The 18,697-nt window shown below is 37.7% G+C and overlaps 1 long non-coding RNA gene across 2 annotated transcripts in view; it reads right to left on the reverse strand.

Moving 5' to 3' along the window:
* Positions 1-6,064: 6,064 nt before the first annotated feature.
* LINC02755 (long intergenic non-protein coding RNA 2755) overlaps positions 6,065-18,697 on the reverse strand; it is a 258,473-nt gene continuing 245,840 nt past the window's right edge. For both annotated transcript variants that reach the window (NR_183754.1, NR_183753.1), the window contains one exon: positions 6,065-6,269. This is a non-coding gene — a long non-coding RNA (long intergenic non-protein coding RNA 2755). The remainder of the gene's footprint in view (positions 6,270-18,697) is intronic.

The following is an 18,697-nucleotide window of genomic DNA, read 5'->3' on the forward strand; positions in this document are numbered from 1 at the left end:
TAGGACACTTGTTCTCAAACTTGAACATGCATCAGAATCAACTAAAAACCTGTTAAAATGCAGATTGCTGGGCTTTATTGGAGTTTCTGCTTTAGATAGGTCTGGAGTAATGTTCAAGAATTTGCATTTATAAAAACTTCCAAGGAGATACTGATACTGTTGTTGGCTGAGGGACTGCACTTTGTAAGCTATTGCTGTGGAAAATTAAGGCATGGATGTTCACCTTTTATTGTTTTACTGACTCAAAGACAAAGCCGAAACACTCTTTCTGGCCTTCTCAATGAGCAATAGGGTTTTATGGCAGGTAATCTTTTATTTTTTAGAATAGATCTGGTTCTTCAAATGAGATCCTTCATAGAAACTCAATGTATAAGACAGGTAAAAATAGAGCTCCTTTGATTAATGTGAAGGTGAGAGAACAGCACCTCTTCTGTCTTTCCTCATAAATTTCCATAGCAGATACCGGCACCACCTCAGCAGAAACTGGGAGCCAGCATAGAGCATGTTGAAAACCAAAGCGGGTATTACTATCATTGCTGACTCTTTAGCTCCCTCTTACATGGTCACCAGATGCTCAGAAGTTTCTGTTCATCATCCAGATTGTTCCATTCCAGCCTCAAATTACTATTTTCTACAAAATTATTGGTTTGCCCCTCACTGATATATTCCACTGGGTTCGGTGCAGTGTAGTTATAATATGAATAAAAGAGTGTGCATTGTTCTTTTCCAGATAACTCTTGATTACAGAATTTGTTTTGTAATACCAGTCCATGAGATATTGGGAATGGTGTAAAACACCCATACTCCATGAGGAGCGTCTGTGCACAGCTACATTTTTCAGCACTTCTAGCAGCATGACATTCACGTCCCCATTGCCCTGGCTGTTGTCACTGTTCCCAGGACCACCGTCATGCTTCCCACCAACCCCTTCCACAATTACAAAACAGATAATGGCATTGATAACTAATGTATCACTTATCACAAACAATTACAAATATTTATTGAGTAACACTTTTGAACTATATCCTTTAATTCAGAATTCTCCCCTTCAATAGCTCAAAGATGGTTGATATATAGCAGAGAGAAGGCAGGTTAGGAATTTTCACCAACTTGCAGATGTTCTAAGTCATGGCTTTTATCAATTTACCTATGGGAATATGTAACCCTATGAATATTTTCCTAATTTAGATATTTCTTTGTTTCATCTCCAAATGAGTTCTTGAATCTAAACTACTACTCAAAAACAGAAAAGTGGAAAGTTCTATATCTCTTAGTACTGGACTTTCCTTGTAATATAAGTCTAGAATCAATCCGCTTCAGGCTGAAGAGATTTGTTTTTCTTTCTGGGAGATAAGAATCAAAGATAAATAGTTCTACGGTTTTCCCATAGGAGATAAGACCCACTTTGACAATCAGAACGAACAGACTAATTCGATTAAGGATAGGTACACCTTTGTTACTGATCTACCAACAAAGTATAGGAAAGTTTCAGAATAAAATAAAACCACTGAGAACTGTACGTCCACTTTTACCTTGTCGTTTTTTAATGTTCATTGACTGAAGGTGAATTTCATCAAGAATATTTTAGATGATCAATTTTCTTTCTCCAAGAATTTACAATTATAGTCCTTATGCCCATTGGCAAGAAACTGTTCCCTAATCTCAACTAAAAAAAAAGGAATCTAATTTAAAATCACTGCTATTTATAATATCTGCTCCACACCTTGTTGGATCTCCTTGTTGGCTTCAACAAAGAGGAGACTGTCTCAAAGAGGTGAAAGGAAAAATTAGCTAATGTACAGTGGAGATCCGGAAGTTAAAGGAAGAATTATGCAAGTGAGTCTAGGTCATAGTATGCAAAACAAACAATACAATATTGGTGACTCTATTTCATAGGTTGGTGTTGTTTGGCATATGTATTACAGTGCATATTCAGAACACGCAAATAATATCTATCATTAAAATTCCCAACATGTTTTTTACACTCTTTTCTATTTCTTAGAATAGACACACTCCAGATTCCTGAAGAGGGGTGTGACAACCAAATTTTTTTCAAGGTGGCAATAATGGAATGATACACGGAAAAAGTATGTTAGCATTTTTTATCTTCTCCAATCCCTTAGATGTTGGTGTAAACTATTATATTATCCAAATTAGTTCACTCTGAGGATATAGAGCAAACAGAAGGGCAAAGCAAAACCTACAAAGAAATTCTTCCAAATACATTCATCAAGGGCTTTTTATACAGACAGCTTAGGGACTCTGCCTATGGCAGGGAGTGAGAGATGTGACATTAAGAAACAAAGATTAATTGCCCAACTTCATATCACAATGTGAGAGTGGAATCTAAAACATCTCCCAAGGTTTACGGTTCTAGTCTAGTCACCCTTTCTTTCTTATAATCAGAAACTATGAATAATTCTCTCTGTATCTGCTACTTTTATACTTAGGAAAGGAAAAGATAAAAATACAAAAAAAAAAAGAGTAAAGTCTACATCCCCCTGGAAGCAACTGCTCAATTTCCTATGGAAAAAAAAAATTAAGGTACTTTAATAGCGCACTAAGGACATTTGGATAGTGGTCCAAATAAATCCTCCAAACCAATAGACTTGTGATTTGTCAAGGTTTGTTACAAAGACTATGCCCTTAAGCCAAACAAGCATCATCTTTGGGGAGATTTTATTTGTGTTATCAATTCATATCTGGACAGGTCTTCTGCTGGTTGGCATAGCAACTAACTGAAGTTCATTGAACTTTCAGATGTGTGTGCTAACAGTCTAAAGCTGATTTCCCCCCATGGGGACCAGAAAAGGCTTTCTTTGTTAAACCTCTCCAGTTGCATTCAAAAATACATCATTTTTCTCAAGCCTACAAACACACACATTTGAAATTTGGAAAATAATATTAGGAAAATTGTTTCTATCATGTAATATCATAATGGTTTTCCTCTATTTTCTGAAAGAAAGGCTAAAGTTTATCATATTTTCTGTCCATTTCTAGGTCTTTCAATAGTAATCTTAGGGAAATTCTTTCCAAGAATTTATTTTTTTTTTAAGATTTTGTTGAGGACATCCGGGTAGAGATTTTGCAGACTGTTGATATTTAGCATGGCCTTGTTAAAATTTTAGACATGGAAATGTTAGGCCTTCACTTAGGTGAAGATCACAGGTAACTTGCTTTCATGCTATGTTGGTTAAGCAAAGATTTAATGAATGTTCATTTAGAGAGGAAGTAGTGTCAAAACCTGTGCTGAGCACTGTGGGAGATGAAGAGGAACAAGAGATAGCATTGGTTTTTAAATTATTTATAATACGACTTCAAAAAAGGAACTAAAGGATAAGGAATATTAGTGAAGAAGATGTCTCTACTTTTGGGAATAGTAGAAAAAACGACTAAAAAGGAAAAGTTTGTAGTTATACCTTTGCCTTGATTAGTTACCAATTTTGGAAGTCATATTACTATGATAATTTAAAAAGCTTAAATGCAGAATAAATGTTTTCCCCAGAAGGATATAATACTTATGTGTACTTTATTATTATTTAATTGAGATGGAGTCTCATTCTATCGCCCGGGGTGGAGTGCAGTGGTGAGATCACGGCTCACTGCAACCTCTGCCTCCCTGGTTCAAGCGATCCTCTGGTCTCAGCCTCCTGAGTAACTGGGACTACAGGCGCACACCATCACACCTGGCTAATTTTTGTATTATTAGTAGACATGAGGTTTCACCATGTTGGCCAGGCTGGTATCGAACTCCTCACCTCAAGTGATCCTCCCACCTTGGCCTCCCAAAATGCTGAGATTACAGGCATGAGCCACTGCACCCAGCCAACTTATGTGTACTTTAGATAATCTAATATTTAAAGATATGAGAAATAAAAGTCACTTTTTGAAAATCTGCCCTCCCTTTATAAAGTAGGAATGCTATTCCAAATATTTGTTAAAGAAGTATCCTTGCTTTTTGCTTCCTAATTAAAGTCTGTAAGCAATACCCGAGTTTTCAAATTTCAGAAAGATTTTGTCTCCTTTATTTTTCTGAAAGTATAGAAAAGATGTATCAAGCATGATTTTGTACTTATTTCTTCTTACTGGATCTGTTTAAGGCTCCATGCTCTGATTAAATAATTACCATCCCAGTACTCATGAAAACTATTTTCTTGTATGTTGAACCTGAGCCAATTCACTGCCAATGAGGCTATTATACTTCAATGACTTTATTGATTAACAGTGATTAGGTCAAGGTTGCTGACAATGGGTAACCAACCACTGCTATTTATAGGCAACTACTCAGCAGCCCTGAACCAAGAGTTAGTCGCATGTGGTTTTGTGGGCAGCTGGACTCTGGCCTCCTCTGTCTGGGGGTCTTTTATAATGAAACTGTTGTATCATATGGATTTTTCATTCATAGACCTCCTTTTTGAACTGAAGAGGCTGGCTTTGTTTAAGATTAAAAAGGGGGAAGTGAGAAATATTTAGAGCTGAGTTACAGGAGGCTGCGGGTACATGGGGAGAGAATCGAGTGGCCAATTCTCAACAAAACCCCACTCATTCTGAAGGCTGTGTGTGCTGAGGTTGAACATTAACTTATACTGCCATCATGTGGATAAAAGGAGAAAGTTTTATTCTAGTGACAGCTGCAACAGCTGCAGATAACTTAATGATAAATGGCTGGCCAAAGGCTGAGGCTTCAGACAGTGCATGTTTAATTAAAAATATCTGGAAGCCCATGCAACTGTTTCAAATAAAAAGTTTTGGTTCATTTTCCATAGTGTCAAAAAAGCAATGCTCTGAGACTTCCAACAGTCTCTAAGGACCCGAGGCCAAGCCTCCCTTGTACAACGGAAAGTCTGAGGTTCCTTGGTACAGTCTCATCAGCCAAGTAAACACAAACAAAACCTTCTAAAGGTTAGACTAGAGAAAAAATAAAAAAGAGCCATAAATATCAATAACAAATGAGCATAACCAAAAGAAGCAATAGAAGATAGATTTGAAGCCAGTGACTAAATTTGTGTCTACACCCTGATAATCATTTACTGAGTCTTCTTGAATGAATAATTCTTTTATTCATGCCAAAGAGAAAATGCACTGGATAGCTAAACATGCAAGGAAGACATTATTCAAGACTATTGCATTAGAGGTCAAGAGCTCGAGGAAAAGCACTGTGGATTTTAGGGGAAGGTTGTTCAATGTGATGTAACCATCTAGGTTTGCTCATTGCTGCTTATGGAAGTTAGATTCATACTCTCCCACAGAGACTGGCAGATACAGGCACTGTCTTTTTTGATGATTATATTTGAAAAAAAAAATGGCTCTCAGATCCTTGAGAAAGAGGTGACCGGGTTGTAAAACTGGCAAAAGAGTCTGAGAAGATTTCCATGTAAAGGGGAGAGATACATTATTCACAAGCACAAGTTCTTTAAAGCAAATGATCTAAGAAGAAGGAGGTCAGGGGCCTAAAGTCAGGAAAAAACCTGTCTAAAGTTTGACAAAGGTAAGGGGAAGATTAAGACCATATTCGTGAGTCCCAGTCTCCTAATCTGTAAAATGGCCAGAGTAATCCCAGCTATCCTTATCGACAAGAGTGAACATGAGCACTGAAAAAAAAATAGAGAAATATTTGAATATGATATAAACCCAAAATGCAGTAGATGGTAAAGTACGGCTACTACTTTTGTCTATCCTGTTTTTAAAGTATGCACAAATTCAACTTTAAAGGACTAACTTGAAAAAGAAAAAAAATGTTTTTCCAAAGCAGAACAAGTCTAATAGAAAAATCTCAGATTCAGGCTTTGCTCTATAACTTACTAACCATGGAGCCTTAATAAAGTCATTTAATCTTTTTGAAACTTAAATTGATTACATAATGCTTACCTCTTATTGTTGTTGTAAAATTGAAATGAGAGAACGTGCAAAGATGCCAGCACAATGTTGGCACTTAGTGAATACTAGTAGATGCCGAAGTTGCATGTACTCTAGCTCTGTGTTGTGGGATTATTCTTGATTTGGTTGGTGTCACTGTCAACTATTTTCACCAAAATGTGGTGTAGCAAACAACCTTCAACCTCAGTGTCTTACAAAATTGAGCATTTATTTCTTGAAAGAAGGTATGGAAATATATTGTAGGTCTCACGGTTCTTCTGCACAGGACTGGGAATTATGAGATCCAAGCTGGGTTTGGCTGTGCTTGAATCCAGGCTCTGGGTTCATTTCAAGTCTAATCCATTTGCCTCTCCTTATTCTGGGGTGGTATGTCCTTCTCATGGTGATGACACCTGTGCAAAAAGACAATGCTTATGACATATTTGCTAAAATTCAACTAGCTAAACAAGTCACATGGGCAAGCCCAAAGGCAAGAGGTGGAAAATGCACTGCATAGAAAGAGCAAGAGGGTTAATCTATACTATTACCTCAGAGAAGCAAAGGATTAAGACCAATCATTCCATCTACAACCCTATCTCATCTATCATCTGCATATATTGTAGCTTCTCCCTCTCATACCTTGTTTTCTCAAATCTTGAAATCTTCAATGGCAATACATTGTGACAATAGAGAGAGTGTTTGAAAGTAAAGCAAAATCCTAGGAGAAAGGTGGGCAGGCTTTTAGCACGTTCCCTGCAATAATTCTGGAGGGAAAAAAATTAGAGGAAAGCATGACCTAAAGAAAATCTTGCATCTTTTGCAAAAGATTTTATTATGCAGATGTCTTATATTTTTCAATTTTCTTTAAAGATTTCCCCTTATTGAAAAATATTCCTATGACAAATTAAATGAAATGGAGATGCTAGGTTGAGGCAAAGAATTTGAAAGAGTTTGAAAAGTACAGGGGAAATAAATAACTATCAGAAGGTGAGCAAGAGATGGATAAGAATGAATACTTGTCCCCTGCTTTTTTATCTCCCCACCTCCTACTCACACCCCAACTAACAAACCTGCGTCATTTGAGCTGAAAGAAGAATTCATCTCTGAATATAGATCTGAGTTAAAATCATTTTGCAATGGTCCTACTGTGGTTTTTGAGAACAATGCCATCTCTTAAAATAACTGTTTTCAATCGTGACCTTCAGTGTGTCTGAAAGTTTGTGATGATGAATAGTGAACGCTGAATGGCATGCTACGGAATGCAGCCCCTTAATTGCTCACAGAGAAGTCACATAGGATTTTCAATCCTTCTGTTTATGCCAACGCTTGGAAAAGATCACTGAGTTCGGATCTGTGTTGAGCTACCAGACTGAATCAGAGATAAAATTTTCCATTTGAGCCAGCTACTCAGCCTTTGGTGAAATAATTTGGAGAGGTTGCGGGGCAGGGAGCACAGTGTGTAACTATGTTGTGCACAGACTCTGGCGTCAGACATATGTGGGTTTGAATTGTGGTTTTACCATTTCATGGCTGTGTGGCCTTGAGCAAGTTCATTAATTCTTTTGTTTTTCTCTCACAGTATCTGCAAAATAGGCATCATCATTCCTCACAGGGTTGTTATGAGGATTTAACATGCTAATATATGTAAAATATTGCATACAATAAGCATGCAAGAGAAGACAGCTGTTGTTGTAACTATTATAATGTATTATGAATTTGTTTTCAGCAAAGAGTAAGGAAGCAACCCAGCCCTGTGGCAAACCTGAGGCATGGACAGGGCAAGGGTGGAGGCTGTGGGATGGGCAAGGAAAGGGTCTGATAAGAGAGGTAGGTGGGTGCTCAGGGAATATAGCTAAAGGAAATGCAGACCAAAACCCATGAAAGGGTGATAGAAAGACCTCTTCTCTTTAAGCTGCCTCTTCTTCAAGGCTAAGCATTTAAAGTTCCTTCCTGGAAAATCATATTCATGTTAATGACCCTGAATTTAGTGACTGCAGCAGTGCACCGTGTATTTTTCAGCCTCTGGAATAATAGAGGAAGGATGTGATAATTAATTTTATGTGTCAACTTGACTGAGCCACAGAGAACCCAGATATTGGTTAAGCATTATTCTAGGTGTTTCTGTGAAAGTGTTTTGGATGAGATACAGATGTGTATATATATGTACATATACATTATGTATATATGTGTGAAGCACATATGTATGTAGTATATATATATATACATATGTATGTATATGTGTGTATATATATATAGAGAGAGAGAGAGAAAGAGAGAGACGGAATATACATATACATTCTATTGGTTCTATTTCTCTGGAGAAACCAGGCTAATACAAAGGATGTTGTACTTCTTGACTTCTGCTTCTAGAGACTACTTCTGAAACAGTGCTGAAAGCCATCTGGGCTTAAGGTATGAGGCAAATTACGCTGGGAATTCTCCTCCAACTTCTGTGTTCCAAGGAAAGCAAATAATGATCACCCTCCCAGGTAGTACTAAAGGAGAAAGGAAGAGGGAGCTATCTGTCAGGGATTCCACCTAGGAAAACCTTTGGATGGCATTGCTGGAACTAGAAAAATAAGACACTTTCTCTACAAGTGGATTGAGCATGGCAGTGGGGAGTCACAGAGGCAGTATGGTGAAGATTCTATAAAGCAACAGAGAGACTTCTGAGAACAAATCATGAGTCCAAACTGAGTTAGAAGTGGTAGTGTATTAGTCCATTCTCGCATTGCTATAAAGAAATACCTGAGACTTGTAATATAATGAAAAGAGGTATAGTTGGCTAATGGTTCTGCAGGCTATGCAGGAAGCATGATGCTGGCATCTGCTTGGCTTCTGAGGAGGCCTCAGGAAACTTACAATCATGGTGGGAGGTGAAGGGGGAGCAAATACATCACATGGCCAGAGCAGGAGCAAGACAGAGACAGGAGAGGAGCCACACACTTTTAAACAACCAGATCTTGCAAGAACTCACTCACTACCATGACAACAGCACCAAGGGAATGGGGCTAAACCATTCCTGAGAAATCCACCTCCATGATCCAATCACCTCCCACCAGGCCCCTCCTCCAACATTAGAGATTACAATTTAACATGAGATTTGGGCAAGGACACAGATCAAAAACATATCAGCTAGTGAGGCAAAGAATCTTCACCTTGGAAAGGAATGGAATTGGCAACACCAGGCTTCAGCCTTGTCAGAACATGTTTGGAACTAAGAAATAAAATTAGGCCTCAATTCATACATAAGGTACAAAATGGTATGTTGTTCCCTGAAACCAGGGAGAAGCCTGGTCACTAGGGCTAGAATACAAGGCAAGGGATGACTAGAAGCCAATCTGATCTGATGAGAGGCACCTGAACTGCTAATGTGAGTTCTACCAAAGCTGTTTTTCTAGATGAATGACAGCTATGATCCAGGCTTCTGTGCTGCCTTTAAGACAAGGGACCTTGAAGAGACTTTTGTAATGATCAGACTATTGGTAACTGGGCTTTGGAACAATGAGTCTTTCCAAAACTCTTTCTTCCACATTTGTGGAAAGGAGGAGGTCCATGTCTGTCTCCATCCTTGTCCAGGTCTTCATAGTCATGAAGCCTCCCTTGGTGAAATCCCACAAGACAGGACTCCAACAAACATTCCTTCAACATTTCAGACTGAATCCTAGGATTTGCTCAACTCTTTCTAATCATAGTATATGTGTTAGTCTGTTCTCATGCTGCTAATAAAGATGTATCTGAGACTGGGTAATTTATAAAGGAAAGAGGTTTAATGGACTCGTAGTTCCACATGGCTGGAGAGGTCTCACAATCATAGCAGAAGGTGAAGGAGGGGCAAAGGCACATCTTTCTTACATGGTGGGGGGAAAGAGGACATGTGCAGGGGACCTGCCTTTCATAAAAGCATCAGATCTCATGAGACTTATTCACTATCATGAGAACAGCACAGGAAAAGTCTGTCCCCATGATTCAATTATCTCCTACCAGGTCACCCCCATGATACTTGGGAATTATGGGAACTACAATTCAAGATGAGATTTGGGTGGGGACACAGCCAAACCATATCAGTATTATCTCACACTGTTTTTCAATCCCTGAGTGGTGGCCTTGTTACTGACTTTCTCATCTTTAACTTTACTACATCTTATACTTTGGACTTAATGCCCAATACTACTTTTTTAGAACCATCCTTGGATACTTCCCTTGGATTTGTTAAAAACTAATAAGTGCATAGCAGTCTAATTATTAAAATAGTATTGGAAATTAACTTTTTCTATCTCTGACAGAAATCTGGAAGATAGATTTATTGATCAGGCACATGCGCAGGGACTTAACCTTATTCTACCAATGGTTTAGAATGTGGCTGAAAAACACCAAACTGGACAGCAGCCCTGTAACACATAAATCTATATCAAAGGAAGAATAAGATGATAAGTTTCCTTGAAACAAAATGTATAATTTCACATTTTTTAAGAATTAGCATGGGGTGCAAAGTAGCATGGCAGCCAATCTTTGGAAAATCAAAACAAGAAGTCAGACCTTACCAAAGTGAAATGGTTGCCACACTAGACTGTCTCTCCTACCCCATAGATATGAGTAATCACTCTGTATGTTGCAGAGCATTTAAATTTGAGAGAGGAGATATGATAAGTTATTGACTTTGGGGAGGTTTAAAATTCCTCATAAATATTTGTCTTGAAATTATGCTTGGTGGGAAACCTTTCAGATTACAAGCTTATAGAGGCAAAAAAATACCTTAAAAGTCAGCAAGCCAAATAGTTTCTGTCCTCATTGCTACTACCCCAGCTTTAATGTAGAGATGTGTTATAAGGATTTTTCAGGCTGCCCCTGCTACACACTTTTCAGAGTAACACCAGTGCCCAGGTGGTCCTGAATTGAAGCAGTCTCTGCTCTACCCCTCTACTATTTGTCCATCTCTTACTGAATTTGTTCTGATGACTCATTAGAAAACAAGACATCAATTCTTTACCATTACTGAACTTCAGGAGATTGGAAGTTACCAAAGCAATTTGTATACTCTTTCTAGTTCTTGCCCTTCATCCATCTCTCAACCTCATTGTTCAACCAGTTAAGATAAAACAAATAAAGGAAACAAATAGGTTGTGAATGAATTCTATGACTTGATGCAAGAGATCCTGTTTCCCAGGCTGTCCTTTATCTGGCAATAGCTAGGAAGCCTACTTGAATGTGGCAGGACTGGTCAGTTTCCTAGGGTCGTCTTTGAACTACTACTTCAAAAGATAAGGGCATCATGAACATGGAAGTATGGTCTGACTTCACGGTGCCATATAGTATCAAGCATCCTTTCCTCCCCTCCAACCCAGGTACCATAAAGCCTATTGAATACCCATTTTCTTTGATATACTCACCTTGTTCTGAGACCAACTGGGCTCTATGCGAACTTATACAAATGCTGAAAGCAAAACAGCTAAAATGAGTGTTTTAATGAGTTTGAGCTGCTATAAAAGAACACCATAGGCTAGGTGGCTTATAAACAAGAGAAATTTATTTTTTTAACTTCTGAAGCCTGGGAGGTCCAAGATCAAGAGGCTGGCAGATTTGCTGTCTGGTGAGGATTCATTTCCTGGTTCATAGACAGCTGTCTTCTTGCTATCAGCTCACATGGCAGAAGGAGAAATGGAACGTTCTGAGGTCTTTTTAGAGCACTAATCCCATACATGAGGGCTCTATCCTCATGACCTATGATGCAACAATGAATTAAAAGAGAAAAATCTCAATTCACTGTGGATTTGCTGTTCTCACACCCCAAACTCACTTTAATTAATTTATTCTGCCTAAATGAACTCAGTAGATCAACCATGAGGTGTCATTACACATCACAGCATTCAAGAGACAATATACTTCAAGAGACGATATACTCTTGACAATATATCGTCAAGAGACAATAAAATGAATATATATATATATATATATATATATATATATTTATGGAGAAATCTTACATATAAGATACTGAGCAAAAGATTTTAATTATCGTCTATACTGACACAATCCAGAAATAACTATTATTTTTTCCCATTCTGAGCAAAATATTGCATACTATACTACGTCCCAAGTGAGCCACAAAAAGGCAGGCAAATTCAGTAGATTCAGTTTTACTAACTTTCAAACACATACAATGGATTATCTCTGAATTCAAGATTGTTCACAATTCCCCAAGAGGTCAGAAGCACGAGGACTGAGAATGATGTCTACATATTGCTTAGAAGCACTAAGAACTAGGAAGTGACTGAATAATTGAAAATTAGATGACTTTTCTGAAACTGGAATGTAAACTCCAGGTTTGACTTAATACGGAGGCATTCAGAAGTAGTTAGCATTATTCTCATTTTGTAGATGAAATCACTGAAGATCAAAAAGTATAGTGGCTTTCCTTAACTTACATATTTAGTAAGTGGCAGAATTGAGGTTTAAAATCTGGTCCTACGACTCCAGACCACAGAAAAGGGACAGAATACACAGCGGTTTAAGCAGTTCTAGACTAATAGGCTGGAGTGGGGGGCAGGGAGAAGAAATGAGAAGATGCAAGAAAATGGAGAAAATAAATTCAAATTTATGTCTATCTCTAAACCATATAAACCCCAAAGAGCCTCTTCATCCTCCTTGTGTCGTCCACATTGTTTTCTTGAACCTTCCTTCCAGGTTTGGCTGTAAAACATGTTGTAGGCTAAAAAAAGTCTTAAGATAGAGTAACTAAATAACAGATATTCGGGGTGATTTCTGAACTTTTTAAATAAGAATCTCCTTATTTAAATCAGACACATTCTCTAGAAACTATCTCCATTATTTGAGCAATGTGAGGAGGATATTAGTGTTGGCAGGGTTAGTTCGATGGTAAACTGAATAGGCAGGCACTCAACTTCAAAATGATTTAAAGGGATACATGGCTTCAAAATGTTTGTGACTGGAGTGTACCAGGATTTACAATCAGAAAGACAAGGTTTGAAATGTAGACCTGACCAGATGAGTAAAATTGAACAATTCACTTAACCTCTTTGGACATAGAAATAAATGTCTAAGATAGATGCTTACCCAAAGGCACACCGTAAGATCATGGAAGAACTGGGCTTGGAGCCCAGATCCACTGATACCTAGCCAATCATGTTAACTATGAAATAACCCACAGTAGACACCAAGTACTTGATTGCTGCTTTCTAATTTGCCTACCTGCAGCCTGGACCCTGGACTCTTTGCCAGGCTGGATAATCACAGAACTATTATTTGTCAAGTGGTAAACCCCGAGGGCCCTGAAACAACTCTTTGCAGTTCCTAGCCCCCACCACCATTCCCTCACCAGGCTGCAGCCTAGATAGAAAATGAATGCAACCTACAACGAAAAGGAGGGGCTTTTTAAAAATTACTCCCCCAAGTGTCAAACTTTATGGTGTTTGGATGTTATCTCATATCTTAATGCCCATTGTTTTATGTCATCTTACAAATGAGTCGCGATCATTATTATTCTCAATTTAAAATTGGGGAAACTGAGGCATAGAGAGGTGACGTGACTTTTCCAATATTGCACTGCTAAAGAGTGGCTAAAACAGGGTTTAAGGTCCATGCTTTTTCTCTGTCTCAAGCTTTCCTCCATGAAATATTGAGAGATGGTTTTATTTGATGAGAGAGGTGTTTACTGACCTCCATGATATATAGCCACTCTGAGCAAGCCCTTAGCTCTCAGAAAAAGGATGAGGGGAGAACCCCATTTTCAGAGTGGTCTACACTGTTCTCATCTTTCTCTCTGTCCTCTACCATGATGGGGAGGTCACTGCAGCTTCCTTCTCTTTCACTTTGGAAACCCAATAAAAGAGGAACAACCACGAGACTAGCAGCTCTGCTCCTTGGAATCACACGCACCACACGGCGGGAGGAGACCCCCTGGATTCCCCCATCACAGTCTGAGTCCCATTTATTTCTTACCCAGGCATCTCTACAAAGACCGAGCTGAAGGAATGCTGGTGTGGCTTTCCATTCCTTGCCCTTTATAACAGAATGTAATTGGTTCTAGTTCAGCTACCTCACAAGTGAAAATCTTCTACAAAATTGCATTAGGAAGAAAAAGCAAGCCAATCTGGCAGAGGGCAAGGGCAGCAGAAATCCTGTGTAGGTGTGTGACAAACGGGTTTATATGATTTCCTGAAAAATAAATACATACATAAATAAGCAAACAAACACCACCAGGCTGCCTCTGTGCATACGCAGTGCTCCGCTAGGTGGCAGCACACTCTGCACCTGGCTTCCTGCCTGCTCCATTGGAGAGTGGAGCATACCCACTCCACAGGCAGGAGAAAAGGGCAGGACAGAAAGAGGAGTGGAGCTAATATTTCTTGAAGGTCTCCTGTATGCCAGGTCCTAATACAGACATTTTGAAATATATTAGTTTATTTAATTCCTACAACAACATATTGGGGTAGATGTCTCTGTTTTAAAGTTATTCACAATAACATTGGATTTTGTTGATTTACTCTATGCCAACCACTCTACTATGTACTCTTAACTTCATTTGACTCCCTTAATATCCCTAAAAGTGATTCTTATTTTTATCTCTCTGTTACAGATAAGGAAACTGAGGTTTAAAGAGGGTAAGTGGCTTCAAAACCACACAAATATTAGGCCAGGACACTGAAATCTGAATTCTGGAAGTATGACAGCATCTGTAAACAACTGGGAATGACATTCCCTGATTATATGAAAGATTAAGTATTTTCAAATATAAAAAGTGAGACTAGTAACTAGTGCCAATGTTCCTAATAATAATTTTTATGAGTGTAAAATGAATATATATATATATATATATTTTATGGATAAATTTTACATGTAAGATACGGAGCAAAAGATTTTAATTATCATCTATACTGACACAATCCAGAAATAACTATTATTTTTTCCCATTCTACTTTTGCCTTTGTGCATGTGCATGTGTTTATAATTGTTCCTGATATGTTTTGGCTCTGTGTCCCAACCCAAATCTCATGTGGAATTGTAATCCCCACATGTTGAAGGTGGGGCTGGTGGGAGGTGACTGGATCATGGGGGTGGATTTCCCCCTGGCTGTTCTCATGATAGTGAGTGAGTTCTCATGGGAGCTGATGGTTTAAAAGTGTGTATCTCTTCTCCCTTCACTCTCTCTCTCTCTCTCTTCTGCCACCATGAGAAGAAGGTGCTTGCTTCCCCTTCACCTTCTGCCACGATTATAAGTTTTCTAAGGCCTCCAGTCATGTTTTCTGTTAAGCCTGTTGAAGTGTGAGTTGATTAAACCTCTTTTCTTCAGAAATTATTTAGTCTCAGGTAGTTTGTTATAGAAGTGTGAAAACAGACTAATACACTTCCAATCATATTGAATATAAAGCTTTCGATAATTATACATATACTTGGGAATTTGGATTGCCCAATTTTTTACTACTCTAACATTTGTTGTAATACACAGCCTTGGCTATTAATCTGAACACACATCGCTACTTTTTTCTGTAGACAAGTTTTCTATAAATGGAATTGCTGGATCAAAGAATCTGACCACATTTAAGTTAATACCTACTTCCAAATTATTTTTAGAGAAATTTTATCAGTTTTATTTTATTTATGCAAGCCCTGTATAAGATTCTCAGTTTCAATTGCTACTGCTGGTGCCTTGATCTTGGACTTCCTAGCCTGCAGAAATGTATGAAATTAATTACTCTTACTTATATGCCACTCAATCTAGGATATTTTGTTTTAGCAGCCTGAGGGAATAAGACACCTGCAATTACAGTTGAAACTTCTCCACTCTAATGAGGTAATCCTCATAATTATCAGCTTGCGTGTATAATTTAGCACCATCAAACTTTGTCACAGGATTTCACTCAGTGAGAGTGAAATCATTTTCATTCTTTAGTCTGCATGACATTGTACTTCCCTGTTTTTGTCCTGTTTCTGACTAGCATTTTCCTCCATCACTAGAACCTATTGCTCCATGAAAATCTTCACATGATTACCAGAGTCCACTTTTCCTAGTCCTAGCTGCCTATGTAGCTTGGCTGTCTTAATATAAACACAAACTTAAACTTTTAAAATTTCTCAAATAAGCATAGAGTTCATCCAAGCAGAGAGAAAAGGCAGGACACAGAGACACTATTCAAGGCAGAGTAATAGAGCAAAGAATGAGGTAGGGATGTGAATACCACTCCGAAGAATGACTAAAGTAGTGTTTCTCCCAGAATTCCAGGGCATTTGACAGGTGTTGCTCAAAATGAAAGAAGGAACACAGAGAGGGTACTCAATTGTCATTCTAGTTTGAGAAATATGATATGTTCTGCCCCCAATTTACCGTATAAATTTGCAGAGTAAAAAGCTCAGAAAAGTCCTACAATATGAAGACCTATTTAATCCAGTCTTTCTCATATTTATTTAACTATTGGGCATTTTGTGGCAAAAGGTCTAGTGAAATATAAGTGTGGGAAATTCTGAACTAGGAAGATGAGGTTCCCAGTAGTGACATTAGTAAGTTAGAGACAAACAGGTCATGGCAGATCTTAGCTGCCTGGAGTTGCTGGAGGGGTATTGTAGGTGTCTTGTTCAGCTTTGGGGACTGAATAAAAAACAGTGTTTCATCAGTTCATCAAGTTGGATTAAGTTATTTTTCTTGAATAGATTATTTAATGCATTTACCCAATGGAAGAAACCATACTTTGTACATAAAATAAAGTAACATTTCTTTAAACTTCAAAAAAATTGGAGGGGGCAGGGAGGTATACAAAGTTTCAGTTAGATAGGAGAAATAAGTTGAAGAGATCTATTGTACAACATAGTGACCATAGTTAACAACAATGTATTGTATTCCTGAAAATTGCTCAAAGAGGAGATTTTAATTGTTCTCGCCAAAAAAAAGTATGTGAGGTAATGCATATGCTAATTAGCTCAATTTAGCCATTCCACAATTTATACATATTTCAAATCAATATGTTATACATAATAAATATGCATAATTATTATTTGTCAATGAATTACTTAAAATATATTTTACAAGGGAGAAATCTGATGAATATTTTCTTTTGTAAATAGATAACATTTAGTGTGATATGAGCAAGGGTCTGAAGCCAGGTGATGGATTGAGACGACTTTGGAGTTGATAGGACTTCTCCCCTAGGACAGATGTGGTGCCTAATTCTCATAATGGTCTTGTGAGTGGAGAGAAAAACAATTCAAAAAGGAGAAGGAAAGACCAAAATTCTGCAATTGATTAACAGAGGAGGTGAAGTGGAGAAAGGAATCAAACGATGCTTATGTTTATTAATTCATTTATTTATCCAGACAGCAAATATCTGCAGTGCTAGTAACTGTAAGTATCAATTAAACCTTCCATAGGCCAGGTATAGTGGCTCATGCCTGTAATCCCAGCACTTTGAGAGGCTGAGACCAGAGGATCACATGAGCCCAGGAGTTTGAGACCAGCCTGGCCAACATAGTGAGACCATGTATCTACAAAAATTAAAATACAAAAACTGAAAAGATTTTTTTAAAAAAACCCTCCACAGCCCCTACTTGTATTCTGAGAATACAAGAGAATGTGCAGAAGGACTTTTTTTCTCTCCCCAATGCCTCACAGAGATTGAACAATATTAACTATAAGGAAAATATAAATGCACATAATAATTTTTATATCAGATATGTATATACAAATAAAATATTAATTTTCTATCAGCCAAGTTCTATTATGTCTGTGTATGTGTATTATATTGAATGTATAGTGAAATATTTAAATGTTATAAGGAAACAAGATAAATCCTGTGATCCAGGCTAATAACTAATATTATCACACCTCCCAGAACTCATGCCCTGATGTTGATGTAGCATCCAAAATTCAGCTTCCAAATCACTCAGACTATCGTTTGTTATTTCATTGCACTGTTCCTTTTTTTATTTCTGTAATAATGATAACAACCAACTCATCAATGCCTGGTGAGCAGAGCATTCAAGCAGCAGAGAAAATCTATCCTGAAAGATAACCAGTTTCTCTAAGCTGAAATGATACTAAAAAAAAAAGACACAGTCAAGCAAACAAAAAAAAGAATAGACCATGCAGTATCTGAAGGGAGAAAACTCACTCTCTTTGCTGTAATTTTAAAAATGGGATATGACAACCTCTTTTGGTGTGGTGCCTGTGCATGTTTCAATATTTTTATAGAAAATGGTAATATAATTTCTAGTCTCAGAAGTGAGCTGACATGACCAGTAATCTTTAGTGCCCTCTGAAGAGAAGGTTAGGCAGATATAAATTACAGCTTTGAAGATATGTGTATACTTACCAGCATTATTCACTGAAATAAAAGCTAGAATATTATCTTGGAATTGAAATGAGTCAGAAATGGATAAAACACTTGTTCTCACAAGATTTTGCTCTTCCTGGATAAATAACAAATCAAATTGTCAAGTGTATACTTCGCTGCCTAGTTGAGGGAAGCTCCATGCTAAAAAGGCTGGGAAAACAGTAACGTAAGAACAAAAGTGCTGAAGTCACATCGATACGGGTGTGATACCTCTCCCCATCCAAGTTACACTGACTAGCTGTGTAACTTGAACAAGTTGTTTGATCTCTCTGAACTATGGTTTCCATTTCGGAAAAATGAGGAAAAATAGTTATAAAACATATTTTATAATTTATGTAATTTTTTTAAAGTGACAGTGTGTGCTGTAGAAAAGAGACTCAAAAACTATTCATTATTTCACCTCACACAACACTTTTATTGGACTAGAAGGTCATATTGCACTCAAATACTTTGAGAACAAGGATGTGGCCCCTAGTCTCAGAAGAGTTGCAACGCGGTTG

The sequence above is a fragment of the Homo sapiens genome, chromosome 11, assembly GCF_000001405.40.
Source record: "Homo sapiens chromosome 11, GRCh38.p14 Primary Assembly".
NCBI lineage: Eukaryota > Metazoa > Chordata > Mammalia > Primates > Hominidae > Homo > Homo sapiens.